The 24,545-nt window shown below is 43.4% G+C and overlaps 1 protein-coding gene across 2 annotated transcripts in view, besides 4 other annotated features; it reads left to right on the top strand.

The window, feature by feature from the left end:
* The first annotated feature begins 5,610 nt into the window (after positions 1–5,610).
* The window catches only part of CDYL2 (chromodomain Y like 2), a 207,131-nt gene continuing 188,196 nt past the window's right edge, over positions 5,611–24,545 (top strand). The window contains exon 1 of one of the 2 annotated variants that reach the window (XM_011522866.2): positions 5,611–5,745. In XM_011522866.2, the coding sequence (XP_011521168.1) occupies positions 5,620–5,745 (126 nt within the window). In that variant the 5' untranslated portion in view covers positions 5,611–5,619. Of the gene's footprint in view, positions 5,746–6,049; positions 6,499–24,545 lie in introns of those variants that run through there. The other variant, NM_152342.4, reaches the window with a different exon arrangement.
* Positions 5,770–5,829: a silencer, noted in NCBI's record as "silent region_7747". NCBI's record gives its function as "represses an Ori minimal core promoter by ATAC-STARR-seq in GM12878 lymphoblastoid cells {active_cell/tissue: GM12878}" and the evidence as "EXISTENCE:reporter gene assay evidence [ECO:0000049][PMID:35858748]".
* Positions 5,850–6,159: a silencer, noted in NCBI's record as "silent region_7746". NCBI's record gives its function as "represses an Ori minimal core promoter by ATAC-STARR-seq in GM12878 lymphoblastoid cells {active_cell/tissue: GM12878}" and the evidence as "EXISTENCE:reporter gene assay evidence [ECO:0000049][PMID:35858748]".
* Positions 6,770–6,839: a silencer, noted in NCBI's record as "silent region_7745". NCBI's record gives its function as "represses an Ori minimal core promoter by ATAC-STARR-seq in GM12878 lymphoblastoid cells {active_cell/tissue: GM12878}" and the evidence as "EXISTENCE:reporter gene assay evidence [ECO:0000049][PMID:35858748]".
* Positions 7,120–7,269: a silencer, noted in NCBI's record as "silent region_7744". NCBI's record gives its function as "represses an Ori minimal core promoter by ATAC-STARR-seq in GM12878 lymphoblastoid cells {active_cell/tissue: GM12878}" and the evidence as "EXISTENCE:reporter gene assay evidence [ECO:0000049][PMID:35858748]".

Below are 24,545 nucleotides of genomic sequence, written 5' to 3'. Positions count from 1 at the left end.
TATAGCAAAAGGCCTTGAATGAGTCACCTGTGCTCACCATCTGCACTTCTCCTCTGCCAAAGCTCTATTTAACTTGCTTCAGTCTAACTTTGAACTTTCCTGTACCACCAAAACCCATCTCCACATTGCCAAATCCCAGTTCTCTTCTTTCCCAACCTTCCACCAACATTTAAGGTTCATTCTGCTGTCTTTCACTTGAATCTGGGACAGCACATTGTGTTGGTTCCCTCTCTCACTCACGCCTTCTCAGGCTCCTTCACTTCTTCCTCACCCTCTTCCTGACCCTTGAATGCTAACCTGCTCTAGGGCTCAGTCCTAGGGCCTCTCCTCTTTCAGACTTGCGTTCATCCCACCAGTCATCATAGCAAGTATCCTTTCATTGTCATCGATATGCTGCCCAGCCACATAAATGTCCGGCTGAGTTCCTGACTCACATATCTAATACCTCCTTGACTCTACTTGGATATTGAATTCCCATCTCAAAGTTAACTTATCCTAAAATGGAACTATTGATTTCCCTTCACCCACCCCGATACCACCTACTAATGCAATACTCACCCATTGTCCTCAGCTCAGTAAATGGCACCACCTCCATTCACCTGAATACTCAGGCTAAAAATTTAGCATTCCTTTCCCTTCCTCTTGTCTCAAGTATTATCCTATATATCCTCAATCCAACTACATCTCTTCATCTTGACAGCTTCCTCCTTATTCCCCATCACTAGGACTTCACTCAGCGACTTCTGCAAAGGTGGCCCACGTCACCCTTGTCCTTCTTCATGCCATTCCTCTATCTAGGAGCTGAGTGATGCGATCGTATCATTCCTTTGCTCAAAGCCTCCCAGATGACCTCTCTTGTCACTTGGAGGAATCCAAATTCTTTCCCTTGGCCTACCCTGACCTTGGTTAGCTCTCTATCTCTTCCCATGTTCCTTCTTGCTCAGTTGGTTTCAGCCAGACTGGCTTATTTGCAGGACCTTGAACACACCCAGCTTCTCCAGCCTCAGGGCTTTGCCCTTGCTATTTTCTCTCTCTGACATTCTCTGCCCTTTGATTTGATTTGTGTCCTCCTTCATTTTGTTCAAATTTCTGTTGCAATGTCACCACCTTAGTGAGGTATTGCCTAAGCACCTTATCTAAGCCAGCACCCCTTCCTGTCCCCGGCACCCTCCATCTCAGTTCCTGTCGCTTTACCTGCTTCACTTTTCTTCCTACTTCACATCACTACCTGAAATAAAATTATGTATATATGTGTTTTATTTTCTTGGTTTATTCTGTCTCCTCTGTACTGTAAGCTCCATAAGGACACTGTTTTGTTCAACAAGAATAAGCTCCATAAGGGTAGGACACTATTTTGTTCAACAAGAATAATATCTAGCACACTGTAGATACTAAATAAGTATGACTTTAATAATAATAAACATTATTATGGAAGTAAAATATACCAAATGAATGCTGAAAATAAAGCCTAATTAGTAACAAGAATTTCTGCATAGCTTGAAAACAATACTCAGTTTGAAGGTTTTATTTGACTTACTGCCTTTCTATAGGAATCTTTGACATTCAAGGATATTAGTGACTCATATTAAGTTTGAAATGGGTAATAGTTGTCATTACAACAGGGACTATTACTCAGCCCTTATTATAGATGCTTTGCATGGATTAGCTTATTTAATTCTCAAAACAACTCTATGGGGTATCTATCACCTCAATTTATAGATAGGGTGTGGTGGTTTTAAACCATGTCCATAAATTCTTTGATAGTCCTCCCTTTAAAAGGTGGATTCTAATTTGCTTCCTTTTGAGTATGAGCTTGGCTTAGTGGTTCAGTTCTAAAGAATAGAATAAGTGACTATGTTTGGTGTCTAAGATGAGATATTCAAAGGCATTGTGACTTCCTCCTTGCTCTCTCTCTCGGATCACCCAATGTGGGTCTTGGTTTTTCCATCTTCAAAGTGAGGTGTGTGGATCAGATAACATCTCCAGTTATCCAACCTGACATGTCGTAAATCATCTGTGCATCAAATAGTCTTCTTAGCATGGACTATAACATCAGATTCGTTAGCTGCTCTGTGCTAGAAAGAGTTGAAGCTTTGACAGTTTTGCTTCATTTTGTTGGATTTGGGGGGCCAAGATCAGAATGACATGAGAACACTCAAGCAACTTTATGGAGAGACCCATGTGGCTAGGAGCTTAGGCCTCCTGCCAACAGCCATATGAGGGTGCCATCTTGGAGGTGGATTCTCCAGCCCAGCCAACCCTTCAGGTCAATGCAGTCCTAGCAAGCATTTTGACTGCAATCTCACAAGAGATCCTGAGCCAGAACCACCCCCAGTTAAGTTGCTGTCAAATCCACAACCCACACAAACTGTGAAATTAGAAAAACCTTTTGTTTAAAACCATTAAGTTTTGGGGATAATTCATCATGCAGTAATAAATAACACATACATTTGGAAATGGAAGGGTAGAGAGGTTAAACAAAGAGGCTGACACCAGATATCTAGTAGTGATGATGCAAGAATTGGAACCCAGGCCATCTGCCTCTGGAGCCCACATGTTCAGCCACCACAGGATACAGGAGGTCAAGATTATGTCTCAAGTAATACCGGAAGGAGAATATTGCCACATTTCAATGCCACTGTTAAGGCAGTGGATACGATCTTTCCTTGGACATTACACTTGCTGGTCTTGCTCTATTATATTAAAAAGGCCGTGTTCCAGGCAGCTACTGCCCTTGCTTCTAAGTTCCCTTTCTGTCTCAGATTTGTTTTGGCGTAAACACCTACCGTTTCAGTATTCCTTCCACCATTCCTTTAGGCTTCTGCTCAGACCCGATTCCCATCATGTAATTCTGGTAAAACTGCCAATTGTCATATTGTTCCCATAGATAGGAGTATGACTTAAGCCTGGCCAATCATAGTGTCCTATCAGTTATTGACTATGGTGATTGGACCAGTAAGACAGCATATGAGCTACATTGGCCCAATAGAGTCCTTCCCTGGGATTTAGAAATACTGTATAAGGCATAAGCCCAGGTGAGTGGCCAGGTGCCATATTCTCAGCTGCATGGAAGAAGCCTGTCTTCAGCAGGAAAGATACCAGCATGCAGAAAGAAGGAGAGAGTAAGAGAGGCTATTTTGTATCCTTTCATACCTTGAATCCGGCCAATCCTGAGAGCAATTCCATCCTTTTCTAGTCTATATGAGTCAGGAAATACTCTGTTGTTTTAAGTTAGAGCTTTCTATCAGTTCATCTTGAGTTACGACCAATATGAATAGTCTACCACAGTTTGTGGAAGATGGCAGCTATCTTCCATTCTCCATGAGCAACACTAGTTCTCTATCATCTGGAGAACCTAGAGCCTCACTGTTAATTGGTTGGGCTGAACTTCCTACAGTGGGTGAAGACCCTTCCCCCCTTCATCCCTCAGGAAGCACCTGCCTTTTCTGGAAGCTAGCCATGGTCTGGGGGTAAGCTCAAAATAAAATTGTGTTATGACGGATGGGTAGCTCAGTCACTCAGTTTAAAACCTTAGTCATCTCTGTATCCTTTCCTTAGTCGCGGCCCCTCCCCAAGTCCTCAATGCACACACATCCTGTTAGTCATCAAGTCCTGTTGATCTGAATCGAATGCTTCATGGAAGTAGGTGGAGTAACCATAATGAAAGTTAGCCTGGTTCTTCCTTCTGAACATCTCGCAAATCCCATTTTTCTTCTTCATTTCCACTGCTAACACCAGGGACCATTGCAATTGGTCTCCCTGCCCCTAACCTCAAACCCTGCAGTTGATTTCCCATATTTCTTCTAGAATTTGTTTTCTACAGTGCACTTTTGATAGTCACATGCTTTTGATTGATTCAAAAGTCTTCATCAGTTTCTCCACTGTTGACCTACTAAATAGCAAACTTCTTAGCTTGGCTTTCAAGACTATCTCCGAACTGACCCACATTCACCATCCAGGGTCCTGTGACCTCCATAAACCAGTCCTCCAATCTTCTCATACCCTTCCCATAGCAGAATTGCTTACCATCTACTCTGACTTCTTCTCCTCACGGAAAACACTGTCCTTCCTTTTCTATGAGTCTTCAAGATCCATTTCAGTCCTAAAACATTTCCTGAGCATGGTCATCCACACTAAGTATCCTCTTCTGTGAACTCTGTAAACAACTGTTGTCTAGACTAGGGTTTTTCAAACTGCACTCACATTCTCAGGGAGTACTTGGCCAGTACAAGTCAAGCTTTTGGTGTTTTTGTAAAACTACTGATTATATATTCAAATTTGGCTTAGTATATTATTTCCAAGCCCAGTTTCCTTCTTGTCTTCTTCCAAATTACATCCTCATGCTATGGTGGTGCATTTATTCGTGAGTACAAATTAAGACTCATTAAAATTTGTTTAGCTACCTACAGATAGAGAACTGCTTATTATTACTGTTATTATTTAAAACCATGACCACCGGGAAAATATCAATATGAAGAGAGAAGTTCTATAACAATTTCAACAGTTTCTAAGCCAAATATGCTTTCTGATTTATTAATTCCTTATCCTCACCATTTTTTCCTTATCTTCATGCGGGATTTTAACTAGAAATTGGTATAAAATTTGTTATATTGGCATAGTTCGAAAAACAATCACTGTGTACCTACTCTCTCTCAGGAACAGTGGAAGATGCTTGCGATACAAAGATAAACAAGCCCCTATACGAAGAACAAGAATGTTCCAGATGGATTCAATGTGGAAGGACATTCTAGGCAGGGGGAACAGCAAATGCAAATCCATGTGTCCTGGAATGAGCCAGACATGCTTCAGGTTCCATGGAGTTTTTTTTTTTTTTTTTTTTTTTTGGATTAAAAAATTTGGTGACTTTTCAAAGTTTGACAACCTCAGGATTAAACAATTTATCGAGCCCCTCTGCCATCTCACTCTCCATGAGGGCAGTCCAGGTTGAGACTCAGATACAAATCACCTTTATTGAGTTCTGCTGGGATGGACAGGTCACTTCATGTATACGTAGATCCTCTCCTTAATTCTATTTAAATCACTTAGGTGACTATCACCATCTCCCATCAGGGTTCGGTGACCTGCCCACAGCCTCCCAAGTAGAAAATGATCCAGGGAGCATGTGAGTTAATGATACATCACATCTGGAGCCAGGCAGGCATTTCATGGGTGGGGATGAAGATCTTCCCTCCAATTTCAGAAGTCTGACCTTGCAGGTTCTGAAGTAACTATATACATAAATATTTATAAGGAGAACCCTTTAAGCAGAGGGGTGACCATTTATCCATGAGAGATGGCTTAGGAACGGATTTGGGTTTTGGAGAGCTTCTCTAGCTCCTCCAGCTCCGCAGCCTGTCACACGCAGGATGACCTTTTAGAACAACTGAGTGCTCCATTACACTCCTCACTTGCGGATTCAAACTGTCTCTGGGCAGGGTCCCAGTTTTGCCTGTCCAGGGACACTGTGCACTTGGGTTGACTTTGGTAAATGTTTGAGTAAGGGATGAGTGAATAAATTCGGGGAGAGGGGTTGTTGAGGGAAGGCCACCCCTGGCTCTAAAGACTTTCCAGGGTTTATGGGGTGGCCACGCCTGTCCTGGATCCCCATGGTGCCTCTGGATGGGCCATTTCATCCTTCCTCCCTGTGGCCTCCACATCTTACAACCCAGCCTGGAGGGAGGGGCCGCGCAGCCCCGAGGGGCCAGGTCTCCCAGGCGGCGTCCACTCCCCTCGAGGGTGGAGGAGGTAGGTGGGGACCCCGGGCCGGCGGGGCTCGGCTGGGGCCCCTTCCCTGAGGTCTGCAGCCGCAGCCCTCTACCTGGCTCCCCGGCCGCCCCTTCGCGGCCCCAGATCGGGCGCACCCGGCGGGCACCTGGCCCGCCGCCCCCCGGGGGCCCCGCCAGCTGCTCCCGAAGCCGGCCCGGGGTGGCGGGGCGGGCCCGAGCGCTAGTCGACTCTGGGACCGGTCCCCCGGGGCGCGGCCGGGCAGCAGCCCCCGCCTCCCCGCCCCGGGGGCCGGGCCGGGCTCCCGGGGGGCGGGGACTCGCCCAGTGGCAGCAGCGTCCGGGCCGGCGGCGGGCGCCGGGCGGCTTCCTGCAGGCGGCGCCGGGGCGAGCCGTTGCCGGCTGCAGCCACCGCCGCCGGGTCGCCGGGTCGCGGGGGCCGCGGCGCTCGGGCCGCGTCCGTGCCTCCCGGGCGCGCTGCGCGGCCGTCGCTGCTGCCCGCGCTCGTGCCGCCGCCGCCGCCGCCGCCGCTGCTGCCGGTTACGCCAGCCCCGCCGCCGCCCGCTCTGATTCTGCGCATAGGCAGCCCCCAAGCCTGTCATTCTGCAAAAACACAGTTTACTCAACACACCACACACACTCGCACACACACGCGCGCACACACACGCGCACACCGGACCCCGCGCGCACACGCACGGAGGGCGCGAGCGAGCAGACGCGCACACCGGCGAGCCAAGTTCCGCAGCCTGGCATGGCTTCTGGGGACCTTTACGAGGTACGGGGACGCGGGGGCGCGGGCCGGCCCCAGTCAGCGGGCGGCGGCGGGCGGCGGCGGCGGGCGGCGGGGACCGGGCCGGGGCCGGGGCCGGGCGCAATCCGGAGTTGCCGAGCCCGCGGCGGCGGCGGCGGCGGCCGGAGGGTGGCGGGGGCCGGGCGCGCCTCCCGCCCGCCGCCCGCCGCCCGCCGCCTCCCGCGGCGCCCGCGCCCGCTCCCTCTTTCTCTTTCTCTCGCACACACACTCTCTTACTCCATCTACTTTGCGGCCTTGGAGGGGAAGGAGGAAGCCGGGCGGAGCCGGGGCGGGGGAGGTAGCGGTCCCGGGGAGGTGTTTCTCGCCCGACGAGCCGCCTCGAGTACAGAAAGTACAGGTAAAAGTCGGCGCCGGACGTGCTGGGAATGCGGGGGGGCGCGCCGCGGCCGGCGGGGGTGTGGGGCGGGGGTTGCGCGGCCCGGCTGGGCCGGGGGCGCGGGGGAGGAGGGGGGCGGGCGATCGGAGCGGAGCCTGGCCGGGGCGAGGCGGGGTCCCGGGGGGCTGCGAAGGGGGAGGCTGGGTGGGGGTTCGGGGGGACAACCGCCAAACCGCTCCCCGGGGTCCCCGGGCCACCTCCCTCACCCCCCACCTGCTGCCCCCGCACCAGCTCGGACGCCCTCCGGGCTCGGGCGTGGGGGTGGCCCTTGCGGGTGTCGTGCTCCCTGGGGGCGAAAGGGGGCGCTGCGGAGGGCCCTGGGTGGGAGGAGAACGTGGAAGTCTGAGGTGTTGGGGACATAGGACACAGATGCCAGCCCAGCGCCCAGTACTCTCGTCACCCTCAGTGGATACCTGGCTCCAGGTCCTAATGAGTAGTGGCCAGCGTTGGATACTCTCATGTCTTCCCAAAAGTGGCGAAGGAAGACATTAGTCTGGCATCTTTCAAACAATGGAGGAACACCCATGGTCTTTGGGGAGCAAGGGCTTAGGAACACAACTGTTACTGCTTTGGGTTTTCCACAAGTGGACAACACAAGGAACAGCCAGCCACCACTCCCCAGAGGGAATGGCCTCAGAGGTGTTGGCCGCCAAGACCAGGTTCAGGATAAAGAAGTTAAGAGACCAGCCATCTTCAACCAGAGGGCCTTCTGGGCCTCCGTGAAACCAGCCGCATGGGTTAGCCTGGACCTGCACTTCCCGGAACATAAATTGGTTAACGCCATCTGGTTCTTAAGGCTTTGGGGCTCCATTGAGATAAGCACCCAGAAGGGGTAGAATTAGCCTTTTGCATAAGACATTGTAGGGTGATCCACCCACGACAGACTGCAGGGGGTGATTCCTAAGAAGCTCTTTCCTCTAGGCCCTCGTGGGCAGTTGAAGCTTTTTCAGGTGGTGGGTTTGCTGACTGGCGTTAGAGAAGAAGAATGGAGAAAGGAGCACAGGTCTCCTGTGTGACCATGTTCTTGTGAATGATTCTGGAGTTGGTGAGGCCCAGGCCTGGACTGCCGGCCAGCAGGTTCAGGTGGGGTGGGTGGGAGACCTTAGAGCTCCTTGAAAGAATGGTGTATGTTGCCCTCTTCACTACCCTGTGGCCGTCCTCATCTCTATGCTAAGAGACAAGGTGAAGTTGGATAGAGATCTTGTGAAGAACTTCGGCAAATGTGGCCAATGGATCACCCAAGCGCCTTGGTCTGTTTCAAGATGGTGGAACAATTTCTGAAATTGAAAATTGAAGCACAGTAAAATAGAAGGTTTGATTGAGTTTCCTTATGTGTAACCAGTACTGTGGGGACATTGGCTAAAAGTAGATATTGTTTAGGGGTGAAAGTGATCTGGTTGGAATCATGGTTTTCTACGAATTGAGGTTGAGTCAGCTTAGAGCTGTTGACCTTGCCTGAGTGAAAAGTTGTGTCTTGAAGGTGTTAAGAGGATGTACTAGGAGTCATCAGTATTTCCCCATTTAAAGTTTAGAACTTATGAACCTTCTGGGGATAATTTCTTGTTTAATGTTCATCTGCAACTGCCCTCCTTAACGCTGGTAATTGTCGTTGCCAGATTAGTCTGTTAAGAGGAGAGTTTTCACGGTGGCCTTGGAACTATCTTAGTATCTCAAGAGTTTTTATAGAATTTCAGTTAAGGAGGACAATAATAATAATTACTTCTGTGATAGTAGGTAATTGTACTAGATGGAAAATGGCTTTCCCATGGCTGATTATTTGCATAGTCATTACTAAAAGGGCTAAATTGCATTACGAGAATATAACGAATGTCAACATTTTTATAGCCTGTGTCTACATTACATAACATATACTGAGAAATTTAATTTATTGTTCAAATTTAGCTTTAAGAACAATTAAGAAGTGCTAAGTGTACATTAGCATATATATTTCTGACTGTAAAGTTGTTATGTGGGTAAAAAGTAGCATATTGATTTAAGAAAAATATTGGAATATCCAGTGTATGTTGACTGGCCTTGAAAGGAAAAAAAGAAAACAGATTTCATTCTAAATTATGAGACCTGTTTATTACTTTCATTAAATATTATACTAAAGTGTACATAAAATGGCTTCTCGCAATCTCTACTCAAGAAACCACGTTTTTAGTGGGCCAAGAGTTCTTACGTTTGTAATTGATATATTTCACCTGTGTGTCTGCTGACATTATCTTTGAGCCTTTATGGTGAAGTGTGATTTGGATTGTAGAGATTCTTCATCTTTTCTTTGGCATTTCAGACAATTAAGTTGTAAAGAGTGAACCTCCATAAAGCAGTTGTTAGGAATAGGTGCTGATTTTTAAAGACACCAGAAAACGAAAACTTTGTTTATGTAATAGCACTCTTCAATCATAGTGAAGAAATAAGAAATCAAGCTCAGGTTCCAAAATCTTGGATCTTGATAGATAGTTCTGGTTTGTTTCTCCTGTAGTGGAGTTCTCATCATCTTCTGGTGCATTGTAGCCATCACTTATAGGAAGGTGATTTTAAATTTTGGGTTATGTCTTAGAGTCAGGTATCTGTCTGGATCGAAAGTGAAATTTCTTAGCCAGATGCCCTGGTCTATATTCGGCTAAACATAGGGGCCATGGAGTGGCAGCCTGTGAGCCAGGTCTAGGCTGCATACGCATTTTGACTTGGCTCAATGGTAGATAAGAAAAACGATTTGAACACTTTTAGATGGAGCATATGATCTCTAGCTTGTCCCTGTCCCCTTGCTCCCTATTACCAGGCACCCATTCTTCTTAAATCATTCACTGGGCTCCAGTAGACTTTAGAGTTTGCAACCTGATTCTAGTCAATCTTTTGCTAAGATGTTTGGGTGTCAGGAAGAAATAATCAGTGGGATAGGCTCTCAGTTTTCTTGTCTCTCTCTGGGTTTCTACCTGCTTGTACGTTCAATTACTTGTTGACTGAATCAGTGAGCAGAAGACTGGTTTAAGTATATAAAGTACCCTTGTGTGACCTTCGTTGTCCTTCTGTTGAGTGTTACCCTCTATTGTCTTTTTCTTTCCCAAGCTCATGGCCTCTTGGTGGTGGTAAAACCGTGTGTAGGGGTGGCTCAGTTCTCTCTCTGTAGGGAAGTGTCCACAACTATCCATTTTTTTTTGGATCTTTTCGGTTTGTGGTTGGTTGAATCCACAGATGTGGAACCCATGGATATGGAGGGCTGACTCTATCTGCACCTGGCATTCTGCAAAATCACGCACCACTAAGAATAACAGAGTTTATGGGAAAAACAGGATTGAGGCAGACCGCTAAAGAGCTGTGGAACTTTTTTTGCAAGTTGGTCTAGCCTTTGCCGTGTCCACATTGAGCTTTGCTTCCCTCTTGTCTCTGTGGATTGCACAGGGCATTTGCTTCTAAGAGAGACGATTTTATTGAAATTAAGTCTGATCCAGGGTGTAGCCTTCTTCGTTTATCTGTATAAGGAGAAATGTTTTCATAGCTGTTCTTGCAGTTTTGCCATGAGGTCAACATAGTGGAAAGCATAGTGGTTCTTGAAGCTAGAAAATCAGCCACTATTCATGTTAAAGAAAGGCACTTGAGTGCATTTCCAGCTTTGTTCTGAGGTCTTCACACATTGTTAAGTCTTTCTCTTTCCCTGTGAGAGTGCTTACCTTGATTGCTGCAAAGTATAAACAAGCTAGGAAAAACTGCATATGAACCCACACAGACGTCATTCCTCTATTTACGAATCACACCTGAGGTCATTCCTGTCAAAGAAATACATGTACTAGCAGAACTGATGGTCTGTGGTACAGCTTCTTGAATCTCTGTACCAGTATTTGAAGAGGCAGCTATCTTCAGAGAAAATGTTATCAGTTGGATTGGATTGATTCTTGGGCACGTAGAAGACACCTGATGAATATGGAATGAGTATATGATTCTCCCACCTCTTGAAAGTTATTTTAAATTATTCCCTCTGGGCAGGCATCAGCTTATTTTCAAGTAGGCTTTTATGTCAGGTCATTCCTTAGTGCATGAGATAATTTCTTCAGGGGCTTAAGCTGTCCTAGTAAGGAGTTGATACGGCTCCTTGCAGCCTGGCCAATTGCTAAGAAGTGGTTCAGGCCTGGTGATTATTAAAGATCTTTGTATTGGAGGCATGCATTTAGATTACCAAGATTTGGATCCTTCTGTTTCTCTCAGATGGTGAAAAGAAGTGTGGGTGTGGTTGAATTCATAGCACCATCATTCATTTGTTATTTCATATTTATAGACCACCAAATATATGAGAGGCACTTGGGGAACAATGATGATCACGTCCTCCAGGAGCCCAGTGGGAGATATAGTTAAGAAAACAAGTATTTTACGGTACAGTGGGGAAGTGTTAATAGGGATGATGGTGTTCTCTAGGAGTTGCTTGAGAATATTATCTTTTCTGTTTTTGAAAGCATCTCTAAAAAATGAAAGCAAAAAAGAAATAATATCTAAGAGAACTATTGTTATATATTTAGCATGTAATTGATGTTCAATAAATACTAATGTGATATCTGAATTAATTAAAATGTTAGCTTTTGGGGGTAGTTACAAAAGTAGGACTGGGTTTGTTTTCTACACATGTTTATGTAATTTAAAAAAACCAAATCGGGATACTGGGTACATATTCTTTGTAACCTATTTTATTTTCACTTAAATATCTATATATCTATATATATCTATATATAGATAATGTAGGTAAGCATTTTCTCAAATGCTAAAATATTATTTTGTGTTATGAGTTTTAAATGACAGTTTAATTTTCCCTTGAATGTACCATGTTTTCTATAACTAATCCCCTGTTATCGGACATCTAGATAGTTTCCATTTGTAAACCATTATAAATATTGATGTTATGAACATCCATAAACACAATTATGTATTTGCATATCTTACTAGTTTCTTCAGCATAAACAATTTCATATACAGTGAAATTGCTGTATAAAGTTGGCCGTTGGACAATACTTGGATTAGGGGCACTGATCCCCTTTGATGTTGAAAATTCACATATAACTTTTGACTTCCCAGAAACTTAACTACTAGTAGCATACTGTTGACTGGAAGTCTTACTGATAACATAAACAGTTGATGAACATATATTTGTATGTTATATGTAGTATATACTCTATTCTTACAATAAAGTAAGCTAAAGTGGAGAAAATTTTATTAAGAAAAATCATAAGGAATAGAAAATATATTTTCTGTTCATTAAGTGAAGTAGATAATCATAAAAGTCTTCCATCTTCATGGCATTCCCATTGTGTAGACTGAGGAGGAGGAGGAGGAAGGGGAGGGGTTGTCCTTGTGGTCTCAGGGATAGCAGAAGCAGAAGGAAATCTGCCTATAAATGACCTGCACAGGCCGGGCACTGTGGCTCATGCCTGTAATCCCAGCACTGTGGGAGGCCAAGGCAGGTGGATAGCTTGAGCCCAGGAATTCTAGACCAGCCTGGGTGACATGGAGAAACCCCATCTCTACTAAAAGAATACAGAAAATTATTGGGCATGATGGTATGTGTTTGTAGTTCCAGCTACTCAGGAGGCTGAGGTTGGGGGATTGCTTGAGTCTGGAAGGCAGAGGTTGCAGTTAGCTGAGATCACACCACTGCACTCCAGCCTGGGTGACAGAGTGAGGCTCTGTCTCAAAAGCAAAAAACAAAAAACAAACAAACAACAACAACAACAAAACAAAAAAGCAAGACAAACCCCTGCACAATTCAAACTCTTTTGTTCAAGGGTCAACTGTAGTTTGATGAATGGTAACGTTTTTAATGCTGTTGATACATATTCCCAGATTGTCCTTCAAAGTTAACAGTGGATTAGATTAGAGGAAGAATAGAAGTAGGGCAGCCAGTTAATGTGCTGTTTCAATAATTGAAACAAGATGATGGTGGCTTGAACTAAGGGAGTGGTAATGGCGATGGAGTGGAATGGATGCAATTGAAAGGTTGAAAAAGAATCAACATTTGGTATATCAGTCAAGCTTATGTTTGGTGGCATATAATGGAAAATGTACAATAACAGTGGTTTAAAACAGGTTTATTTTACATGAAATAAACTTTGGAGTTAGGCAGTACCAGGGTTGATTGATATGATATGTTCTATGACATTCTGAGAGTACCAGGTATGCTGGAAAAAAAAAGGTAAGGATAGAAGGGTGAAAGTTGAGTATTCTCTCCATAAACAGCTGTCTGGAAGTTCCATACAATCCTGCTTTCTTCTACTGGCCTGAAGATAGTTATGTGGTCACATGTAGCTGAAAGTGTAATTTTCAGCTGCAGTTTCCCCTCCCCTCCTGAAATAAAACTTGATTGATGGTCTGTAGGGATTGAGGGAAAGACAAGAGTTAAGGTATAATTTCCAGGCTTCCATTCTAGTCCATTAGGTGGATGGTGGAGCCAAGGATGAGCATTGGTTGGAGGGAGTGGAGGGAGTGGAAAGGACAGTGAGTTTGGAGTGTTTGTTGAACATCCAGGTACAGACGTCCACAGCAGCAAGTTGTGTGTGCCTGAAGCTCAGGAGCACTATTTGACATGGCGATAGGGATTGGGAATAATTAGTATGTAGATTATAATTAAAGCCAAAAAACAGTGTGTAAACATGAGGAGGGGTCTTGTGATGGAGAAAGTGGACATTTTAGAGATGGAAGAAGAGAAATAAGGTCAGATGTACAAGGGGTAGCAAGAGAGGTAGAAAAAAAAGAGGTGTTGCTGGTATGGAAGGCAATGGAATATTGCATTTTAAGAAGGAGGGGATGGTTAATAATGTCCTTTGGAGTTAATAACCAGTGAGTCATTGGTAACCTTGGGGTGCATCTATTCCATAGAGTGTGTTGGTGGGTCAGGGATGGCTTGATTGCAGTGTGATGAGGAATCGAGGAGTTTGGGTCTTCTGGATTTAGAGACATCTTGTATGGGCAACTCTTCTAAGAGTCTTGGGCATGATAGTAAAAAGAAAGTGAATGTGATATCCAGGGTGAAGTGGGAGAATGGATTAGTCATCTCCACTTTTCTAGTTCTATACACTCTCTGCCCCTTTGGATGACTTGGATAACAAAAGATTGTGGTGTAGACTTTGGATCTACATGTTTAGAAGAGGTGATTTTCCATAAGCCCTGCTGACATATAACAGATGTGTTTCATGTCTTCAGTAATTTTAATTGGAGAAAAAAGTAGAACATACGTAATGGAGTCATACAAAAATTTTGTTCATTAAGAATTTGTTGCAGCCGCATTTAGTGAGGAGGGCTAAGGTGGAAAGAAGATGATGGTGCTATTGATAAGTTATGTGATGGTCAGTTTTATGTGTGAATTTGGCTGGCTCCAGTCTCCAGTTACTCAGTCAAAATCTAGGTGTTGCTGTGAAGGTCTTTTGTAGATTTGATTACAGTTCATAATCAGTTGACTTAATAAGGGAGATTATCCTAAATAATCTTCATGGTCCTGACTCAATCAGTTGAAAGGCCTCAAAACTAGAACTGAGGCTTCCCTGAAGAGCTAGAAATTCCAGATGTGGACAGCAGCTTTAGCCTGGGCCCAAGTATTCCCACTTGCTCTTCCTGATGATCTAGCCTATGGATTTTGGACTTGACTAGCCAGCCCCACAACTATGTAAGATAATTCCTTGCACTAAATCTCTTAATGTATATATTCTAGTGATTCTGCTTCTCTGGTTGAATCCTGACTGATGCAGTTAGGGTTGTTGTCCACAACTCCATCATTTGGTAATAGTGTATGGCTAGACAAAGCTTTTAATCTTTTGAACTTCTATAAAATGAGATCTCTTCTATTTTTGAAAACTCTTCTTCTGTTTCAGTCTATTACTTCTTCAAATAAATGCCTTGATTTCAGTAGCTCACATCATCTCACACATGTATGCATGTGTAATGAGGGGCAAGCGTAGAGCTCTGGGTCTTAGACTAGAACTGGTAACTCTAAGAACTCAACCAGGCCTGGGTGTTCTGTCACACTGGAGTGCTCAGGATGGCAGGCATGGTGGTGCTGGACCTTGAGGAGAGGCCTATCCTGGGCCTGAAATTTATCCTTGTCTGGAGTCAGCCCCTGGCTCTGGTAGGTTGGTGAATGGTGGGGGTTGTGGAGTAGCACTTCTTGGTCCTGATCCACCCCTTCTTGTCCCTTCCCTCAGTTCATTGTCATGCTTCTGTGTTGTGCAGTTAGCCTTAGCCAGCGAGTAGAAGCTGCTACCTCCAAAGGTCACACCACTCCAGTGAAAGGTCCATTCATTGACCAGGACTTTATAAAGCGATGGGTTCCTGAGAAGGCTTGCAGGGCCATTTGTTTATTTTATGTCCCAGTTTCTCTTATAAAGGCCACCGCTGCCAAATTATTCCCACTTGACTCCAGTCATTCCATCTCTCCCAGAATTTTCATGTTGATCAATCACCACATTGATTTATAAGTGACTTACAGAAGTTTCAACATGGAGACTTGAGGGATACGTTTGTGGGACTGGGACCCTGGGCTACACATTGCCATACTACAGATTCCTCTATTGAGAGGCCACTGCCCTCCCCTCAAATTCTTGATCAGGGAACTTTTCTCCTTGATTTTCATTACCTTGTCTTCTAGTCCAGTGTTCTTAAAATTATGTCCTAAGGGGCCTTACTAACAAGCCATGGGAACTTATACAAATGCCGGATTTGAATTTTATTTGAAAGTAGTCATTTGTTTAATGATCCATCAGTCAAATTTTTATTTTATGTCAGCTGTGGACCTAGAACTATGGTGGTACTAGGGCTACAGCCATGAATGCCTTTAAAACTATCACTGAGGCTGGATGCGGTGGCTCATGCCTATACTCCCAGCACTTTGGGAGGCCAAGATGGGCGGATCACCTGAGGTCGGGAGTTCGAGACCAGCCTGACCAACATGGAGAAACTCTGTCTCTACTAAAAACACAAAATTAGCCGGGTGTGTGGTGGCACATGCCTGTAATCCCAGCTGCTCAGGAGGCTGAGGCAGGAGAATCGCTTGAACCTGGGAGGTGGAGGTTGCAGTGAGCCGAGATCACGCCATTGCACTCCAGCCTGGGCAACAAGAGCAGAACTCTGTCCCAAAAAAAAAAAAAAAAAAAAAAAAAAAAAATCACTGGGAATGTAATAATTAAAAAACTCAACAATCGTATATGGTTTAATATACCATATTTTTAACACATTGAAGTTTTCCATATGTTAAAAGGTGCAGCCATGTCAGTTCCTTTTTTGGTGAGCATACCTCAGAATATGGCTTTTTCCGCTATTTTTGACATATATTGGAACTTCTGGTAAATGCACTATTTCAGCAACAGTGGTTCTTCAGTGTTCTTAGAAAAATTCAGGCCTATCCATGTCTCCTCACATAAAATTAAATGAGCGAATACACTTTTACAGCACAGTCACCCCAGTCAAATACCACTTGAGGTTGAGGAGGCTGGTGAATGTTCTAGACATGGTGTAATAATCAGTATGTGATAACAGTGGAATGTGTAACACTTTGTATCATTATATTGTATTAAAGGTAGTGTTGCGGTTTATTGAGAAGACTGGCTCCTTCTGCTCTGACTCAAATTTGAGAGAAGGAATGGGGACAATATTGTGTGTTAGAGGTTTTTCTACATGAAACAGACATTTCCTTCTCTGATTTCAAACTTCAGGATCAATTAGAATGAAGAATATCCTGAGATTCCAAGACAAGATGGTCAAACCACACCCGATACCAGTTATAATTACTTTCATAGCAAATCAAAGATTGTGTTTTTATTTACAAACAACCAAATGCAGAAAGAAATTGACTGCCGAGACTGTTACGGGAAGGCAGCTGACATCTTTGGGCCTCATTAAAAAATTTTGCTATTAGTGAAAACAGGCTTTATTATTCTCGGAAGTTAATGTAGTGATAAGGAAGTATCATAAGCTAAACTTACAAAAGAAATCTACACTGAGAAATTATTTTATGTATCAATTTTTATGTGTTAGGGATCCTGGAAACATATTGTTAGGGAAATGGTTCTATTGCTGAGCTCCACTGTGTTCTGCTAAACCCTAAGCTCGGTGAGGGCAGGGACCATGTCTGTATTATCCAAGGTTGTATTCCAAGCTTGTGGCACTTTGCTGGACCTGTAGCTTTTCAGTAAATATTCATTGAATGAATGGTTGAAAATGTTTGAAACCTATGCTTCCAGGCCACCTTAGCCTTCCTGCAATGAACTTCATTGAGTGCTTCCTGTATGGCATTAGTCCCTCTGTTTTCTAAGAACTTTCTTTCAGATTGTCCTTGAAATTCAGGTTTCCATTTTGCCTTCCACTAGACCTTGTATAGATTTATTAGGTAACAAAAGTGCCTTAAAGCAAATTGAAACATTTAAGCCATTGTCCCTCATCACAGGTTAGGACTGGATTGAGAGTGGCCATTCTCTGTTAAGGTGTGCATGTGATAGAGGCCCTTTCACACTGAGCACGCACAAAGACCGCCCTGTGGTTTGCATTTGCTTCTGCCATTTGCACCTTTGCCTTTCTACTCTAGCCTCAGTGGCTGGCCTAGTTTGAGATATACTGTCCGTTTTAGATTGGGTTGCTTGGAGAAGGACTCTGGAATGGAGAACTGTGTCCAGAGGGTTTGCTGAAGAGTGCTGTTGGGAGACACACTTGTAAGGAAATGTGGAAAGCAGGCTAGGACAGATGGCGAAGCTGCTCTGCATTGAGGTTACAACTAAGATCTCAGCTGATTCTATGGGCAGCTCTGGAGCTGTAATGGCCCTTCAGAAATGTCCCATATTGAGGCAAGGGAACTGGGCCCTTATATCCCAGCGTCGGCCAGTCATTGCTGGTAGGCTGTTCCATGGGAAGGGGTATAGACTTGGGCGGAGTAGTTACCTGTGGCAGAGGGCAGTTCCCTTTGAGGGACACATCTGTGAGCTTTTGGCAGCACAGCAGCGATATTCCTAGCAGCTGTGGGGATGGGCACATCGACCCTGAAAAGGAGATACTCCTGGGTGGATACGTGATACTCCTGGGTGGAGTATCACGTTATCCATGACACCATCCCTTCTTGCCCTTTACTGGTAGGTGAGTCTCTGTACTCTGGATCCCCAGAACACACCTGTCACCTTGGTTGTACTTTTGGTTGTTGGTGCTTCCCTTGAAAACATCACTTGTCATTTGCAGCTTCTTGTTGCAGCCTGGGTGTGAGAACTGATAGACTGGCCATGTGTTAGGAGCATGCTTATGGTTTCTTTGACTCCCCATTGCAACACACAGCACAGGATCATGTATAGGTAAATATTTCAGAGGCTGTGACTTCTTTTGGGTCGCCACCTCTTGTTCTTGAAATATTTTCCTAGAATGGCCCTCCACTCTCAGTTGCCTTTGTGTCCTCATCTCCTGCTGCCTGTTCCTTAAACATTGCAGTTTCTCATGGTTTTGTCCCAGGGTTCTTCTGTTCTTTCATTGTACTATAGTGATTGTATGGATGATTGCCAAGTCTTGGACATTTGCCTGGATTTTTCTCCTGAGCTCTGGAACTATCTATCTAACTTCACTTGGGCTCTTTAAACTCAAAATATCAAAAGTTGAAGTTAGGATCTTCCTTCTGGATTCCTAGCCTCAGTAGCACCCCCATCCACCTGTTCCCAAGGTAGAAGTGCAGCCTCCTTTGTTTTGCGCAGATGCCATGTGTGTTCTATTGAATCAGCATCCTGCATATTTCTTGACTCCATCCTTTTTCCTTAATACTCTCACCACTTTAATTCAGGAGAAAACTGCCATTGCTTGGGTCTTTCTAGTACCTCTCAGCTGATATTTCTGCATCTAGCCCTTCCTACTTCCATTTTTCTCTGGACTATACTCATGAGTCTTTCAACAATGTCCATTTTATTATGTCTCTTTCCTGATTAAATGCCTTTAAGTGATATATAAGCTTTTTGTGGCTTGACTCCTTCTCACCTCCTCCTATTTCTCTGGTTACAGCATGTATTCAATCCAGAGAAATCTGTTTTCAGTTCCTTGAATGTTCTGTGCTCTCTCCTTTAATCATATCCTTCCAAATGACTGGGACACTGTCCGTTACCAATCCTTGTCACATTTTTGCTTGTTTAATTCCTACTCACTTCAGATCTCAGCTTATGTGTTATTCTTGGCAAGCTTCCTCAGCTTATCAGGAGATTTCCACCCTTTCTTTGGGCTCCTGTGGAACCCTTTTCTTCTCTTGTTATAGCACTCAGCTGAATATGTAGTATCTTATTTTCTAAATCTCCCACTTACATTGTAAGCTTTGTGAGGGCAGTGATTGTCTGTCTTGTTTCATCTGTAGCACCTAGCACAGTGCAAGACTCAAAAACCAATCTGTTTAATGAAATAATTAATTTATTCAATCTTTCATTTATATGAAAGTTGGAATCATCTCAGATATCTCTATAGTCTCTTTGGTCTGATGCTTAAAGCCATTTTCAGTCTCTCAGTTTTCCTTAATTCTTGAATGTGTTTCCTATGTCTTTATGGATCAAATAATGGGACATTGTTTTCCTATAAGCCAAACTCACCGAAAGCATCCATCTTTGTGTTATCAATAAATGTAATCTTGTATTTAGAGGATTGCTGAATCTTGGAAATGGCAGAACTCTTGGATGTTGGATGAGAGTTTTGAAGTCGTCTGTTTAGTCTTTCACTGAGATCTCTAACAGGCGATGAAAAGTGAGGGCCTCATATACTCTGTTGAAGGAGACAAATGCTTGAGATGCTAAAACTGGTGATTTGCCTTCACTGAAATCTAAGTGTGTTGGACATGAGACAGAGACTGTATCTTCCCGGACTGTTCTGGAGAGTCTCCTTGAAAATCTTGACATCATTATCGCTTTCTTATGCAAGATTTAGCAGAGGACGGCAGGGAGGCTCAGCACAGCCTTGAGTCTTGTTTAGCTCTCCTGGTGATCAAGAGTGGAGCTGAGACCTACCCCCCTGACTGACTGATATTATAGGGAGCACCTTATATCTAAACTTTTCCTAGAAATCCAAACTCGTCTGTGAACTGTTGGAAGTCAGATCAAGTAATAGAATCCAAAGCACCTGTAACTTTAAGAAGGAAGGATAAAATTTGAATGTCTTGATATTTACATTGCTAATTTGCTTGTCTGTATTGCCACCTGAAACCACATTCACTTTGAGGAATATGGTATATATGAGAGCTGTGAAGCAGACTTTGGTGAGATCTTGTATTTAATAGAAAGAGGAAGGGAGCCACACAATAGCTGCCTTTAGGATGCAAAAATATATGGACTTTCTTCAAACTGTAAACCCTTTTTTTCTCTTAATTGCTGTATATTTTGGTGTTGTGTAGACAAAGGTTGTTTTTGCACCTTGATTATCACACATGGCAGAGATGGCAAAGTCTTTGCTATCTTAGGTATTTCTTTATTTTATTACCACCCCCTTGGCATTTGTGTAGCCACGTCTATGGTATTGGCTTTTTGGGAAGCTGGTGTAAGTCCTGTTAGGTTATTGACTTAATGAATTGCTGTGTAATCTCTTGGAGTAACCTAATCTCTGATCCTAGGTGTTGCATAAAAAGGTTGTTGAAATGATACTTCTTATTTTTCTTGAATATGCTTCATAATAATTGTAAAAAACAGTTATAATAGCGTTTGCTATTATTTTATTTTGTTTTAGATTTTGGGGTACATGTGCTAGTTTGTTACATAAGTATTACATGTATAGTGGTGGGGGCTGCGTTTCTAGTGTAGCCATCATATTGTACCCAGTAGGTAATTTTTCAACCCTCATCCCCCTCACATCTTCTTTCCTTTTGGAGTCCCCAGTGTCTGTTTTCACCACCTTTATGTCCATGTGTACCCTTTGTTTATGTCTCATCTACAAGTGAGAACATACAGTATTTGATTTTCTGCTTCTTTATTAGTTCATTTAGGATAATGGCCTTCAGCTCTATCCATGTTGCTGCAAAAGATATGATTTCATTCTTTTTTTAATGGCTGCATGATATTCCATGGACATTTTCTTTATCCAGTCAACAACTGGTAGACACTTAAATTGGTTTCATGACTTTGCTCTTGTAATAGTGCAGTGATGAACATAGAAGTGCAGGTGTCTTTTTTTTTTTGCTGGAGTCTCACTCTGTTGCCCAGGCTGGAGTGCAGTGGTGTGATCTTGGCTCACTGCAACCTCAGCCTCCCAGGTTCAAATGATTCTTCTGCCTCAGCCTCCTGAGTAGCTGGGATTACAGGTGCCCACCACCATGCCCAGCTAATTTTTGTATTTTTAGTAGAGATGGGGTTTCACCATGTCGGCCAGGCTGGTCTTGAACTCCTGACCTCGTGATCCACCCCCTCGGCCTTCCAAAGTGCTGGGATTACAGGCGTGAGCCACCGCACCTGGCCCCGCAGGTGTCTCTTTAATATAATGATTTCTTTTCCTTTGGGTAGATACCCAGTAATGGGATTGCTGGGTTGAACAGTAGTTCTATTTTTAGCTGTTTGAGATACCTCTATACTGTTTTCCATAGAGGTTGAACTAATTTACATTCCCAGCAATAGTGTATGAGTGTTCCCTTTTCTCCACAACCAAGCCAACTCTGTTGTTTTTTTTTGACTTTTTAATAAAAGCCATTCTGACTGGTTTAAGATGATATCTCACTGTGATTTTAATTTGAATTCTCTGATGATTAGTGATGTTGAGCATTTTTTAATATATATTTTTGGCCACTTGTATGTCTTCTTTTGAGAGATGTCTGGTCATGTCCTTTGCCCAGTTTTTAATGGTTGAAAACAAACAAACAAAACAGTCATAGTTGTTTGTTTTTTTCTTGTTGAGTTGAGTTCTTTGTAGATTCTGGGTATTAGTCCTTTGATGAGGGCATAATAAAAACAGTAATAATAGCATTTAATATGTGCCAGACACTATGGTAAATTCTCCACGTGTATGGTATCATGTAATCCTTTCTATGAGATGGGTACTAGAATTATCTCCATCTTATGATTCATAAATTAATTCACAGACACCAGACGGTTGAACCAACATTTAAGCCAGTCATCCTAGGTGCCTCTAATCATCTCTTGATAAATTATAAAATGCCTATGCTTTTCCTTCTAAATTCTGTCCTTTTGTTGGTAGATGATACTTCTATCATAGCACTGTCTTGCACCTGTGCTTTCCACAGAATCCCAGGTATAGGTCAATGAGTGTTACACTAAGAACAAGAAAAGGAAAAAGAAAATCTTCCTGGTTTTCCATGCTTATGGCACAAAAACAGGTGTCTGTTGTATTGTTCAAGAGAGGGATTGCACAGGGCAGCTTTGGTGTGTAAAGGAGTTCTTGTGAATGAGTTAATCAGGATGGGAAAGCATCTCTTTGAATCTGAATGGATGTTTGTCAATACTACTTTAAGCCATGCTGACTCACAAAAAGTGATGACTGCACATCTTAGTAATTGTGATGGTGGAAACCATTTAAGTCTTGGTCTTCTTCGTGTTGGTTGGCTTTTACTCAACTTTAGCAGTGAGAAGACTGATTTTGAGAGCAGTTGGTAACATTTCTTGGTCAGTCTAATTTTGTCCTTTTAGCATATTTATGAGCCTCAGTGCATTTTTTTCATGTGCTTTTTTTCCTTTTTCTTTCATTTGGCATGGTGCTTGCATTCCTTCACGGTTGGAATTGGCAGGATAATGTTTCTGAAACTTTTCCTTTACTACCATGTACTGTACTTAAGTTTTGTACCTGGTGGACTGTGATGCCTTGGTTATTTGGGTTTGTGCTCAGGATGCCTAGACTTCCTATGGGTAAGGCAGATAATCCCAGATTCTAGCAAATATGTCTGCATGCTTGGCATTAAAAAATATTACCAGAGCATGCACATTACTAATCTTTACTAAAATTAAGATAATATGTTCAAGTAAGTAAAACCATTTACTTCAATACATAAAGAAATGCAAAGGACTAGAAAGAGATATATAAAACTATTTTTCACCACCTGATGACAGGCAGTAAAACACTGATGGTAATTTACCATGATAGTTTTCTGTGAGGAACTCAACGGGAATAGAGAGGAAAACTGAGATATGAGATAATACACACACACAGAGGAGAGAGAGGAGAGAGAGGAGAGAGAGAACGAACATATTTTATATCTGTCCTAGGTGTTTCACATTGAATTTTCTAGGTGACCTGACACTTCTGTTGATTTTAACCAAGAGAGGTCAGAATGTCTTAGATGCTGTCAAGTCTAATTTCTCACCCAGTGTATGTATCCTTATGATCACCCAGTACCTCCTAGGAAACTTCCTAAGGAAGGGAGTGCTTTGCTTTGAAGGGCAGTCTCTTCCATTTTGGCATGGAAGTACTGGCTGTTGGAAGTGCTGTAGTATAAATTGAACCAAAGTCTTCTTGTGTAGTTTCTACCTGAGGAACAATGAATTCTGTCCCCAAGACCTCTCAGTTCCATTTCCTGGCTGGCTTCATTTCCCCTGCTGCCATTCAAGGCACTCATTTCTTTCTTGTGGAAGAAACAATAGTCTCTTAACTAGACTCCCGGCATATCCTCTTTGTCATCTATTCTTGTAATGTATTTAAAGCGACTGTTTGGAAAGGTAATTCTGAGCATGTCACTTTCTTCTTCTTCGTCTTTTTTTTTTAAATTGTACTTTAGGTTCTGGGTTACATGTGCAGAATATGCAGTTTTGTTACATAGGTATGCACGTGCCATGGTGGTTTGCTGCACCCATCAACCCGTCACCTACATTAGGTATTTTTCCTAATGTTATCCCTCCCCTAGCCCCCCACCCCCCACAGGCCCTGGTGTGTGATGTTCCCTTCCCTGTTTTCATGTGTTCTTATTGTTCAACTCCCACTTCTGAGTGAGAACATGCGGTGTTTGGTTTTCTGATCTTGTGATAGTTTGCTGAGAATGATGGTTTCCGGCTTCACCCGTGTCCCTACAAGGGACATGAACTCATCCTTTTTTATGGCTGCATAGTATTCCATGGTGTATATGTGCCACATTTTCTTAATCCAGTCTATCATTGATGGACATTTGGGTTGGTTCCAAGTCTTTGCTATTGTAGAATGATTTATAATCCTTTGGGTATATGCCCAGTAATGGGATTGCTGGGTCAAATGTTATTTCTAGTTCTGGATCCTTGAGGAATTGCCACACTGTCTTCCACAATGGTTGGACTGATTTACACTCCCATCGACAGTGTAAAAGCGTTCCTATTTTTCCACAACCTCTCCAGCATCTCTTGTTTCCTGACTTCTGAATGATCAACATTCTAACTGGCGTGAGATGGTATCTCATTGTGGTTTTGATTTGCATTTCTCTAATGACCAGTGATGATGAGCATTTTTTCATATGTCTGTTGGCTGCATAAATGTCTTCTTTTGAGAAGTGTCTGTTCATATCCTTTGCCCATTTTTTGTTGAGGTTGTTTGCTTTTTTCTTGTAAATTTGTTTAAGTTCTTTGTAGATTCTGGATATTAGCCCTTTGTCAGATGGATAGATTGCAAAAATTTTCTCCCATTGTGTAGGTTGCCTGTTCACTGTGATGATAGTTTCTTTTGCTGCGCAGAAGCTCTTTAGTTTAATTAGATTCCATTTGTCAAT

Source organism: Homo sapiens, chromosome 16, assembly GCF_000001405.40.
Source record: "Homo sapiens chromosome 16, GRCh38.p14 Primary Assembly".
NCBI classification, from domain to species: Eukaryota; Metazoa; Chordata; class Mammalia; order Primates; family Hominidae; genus Homo; species Homo sapiens.
The sequence above is the reverse complement of the archived record's forward strand: the minus strand, read 5'-3'. Positions and strand labels throughout refer to the sequence as shown.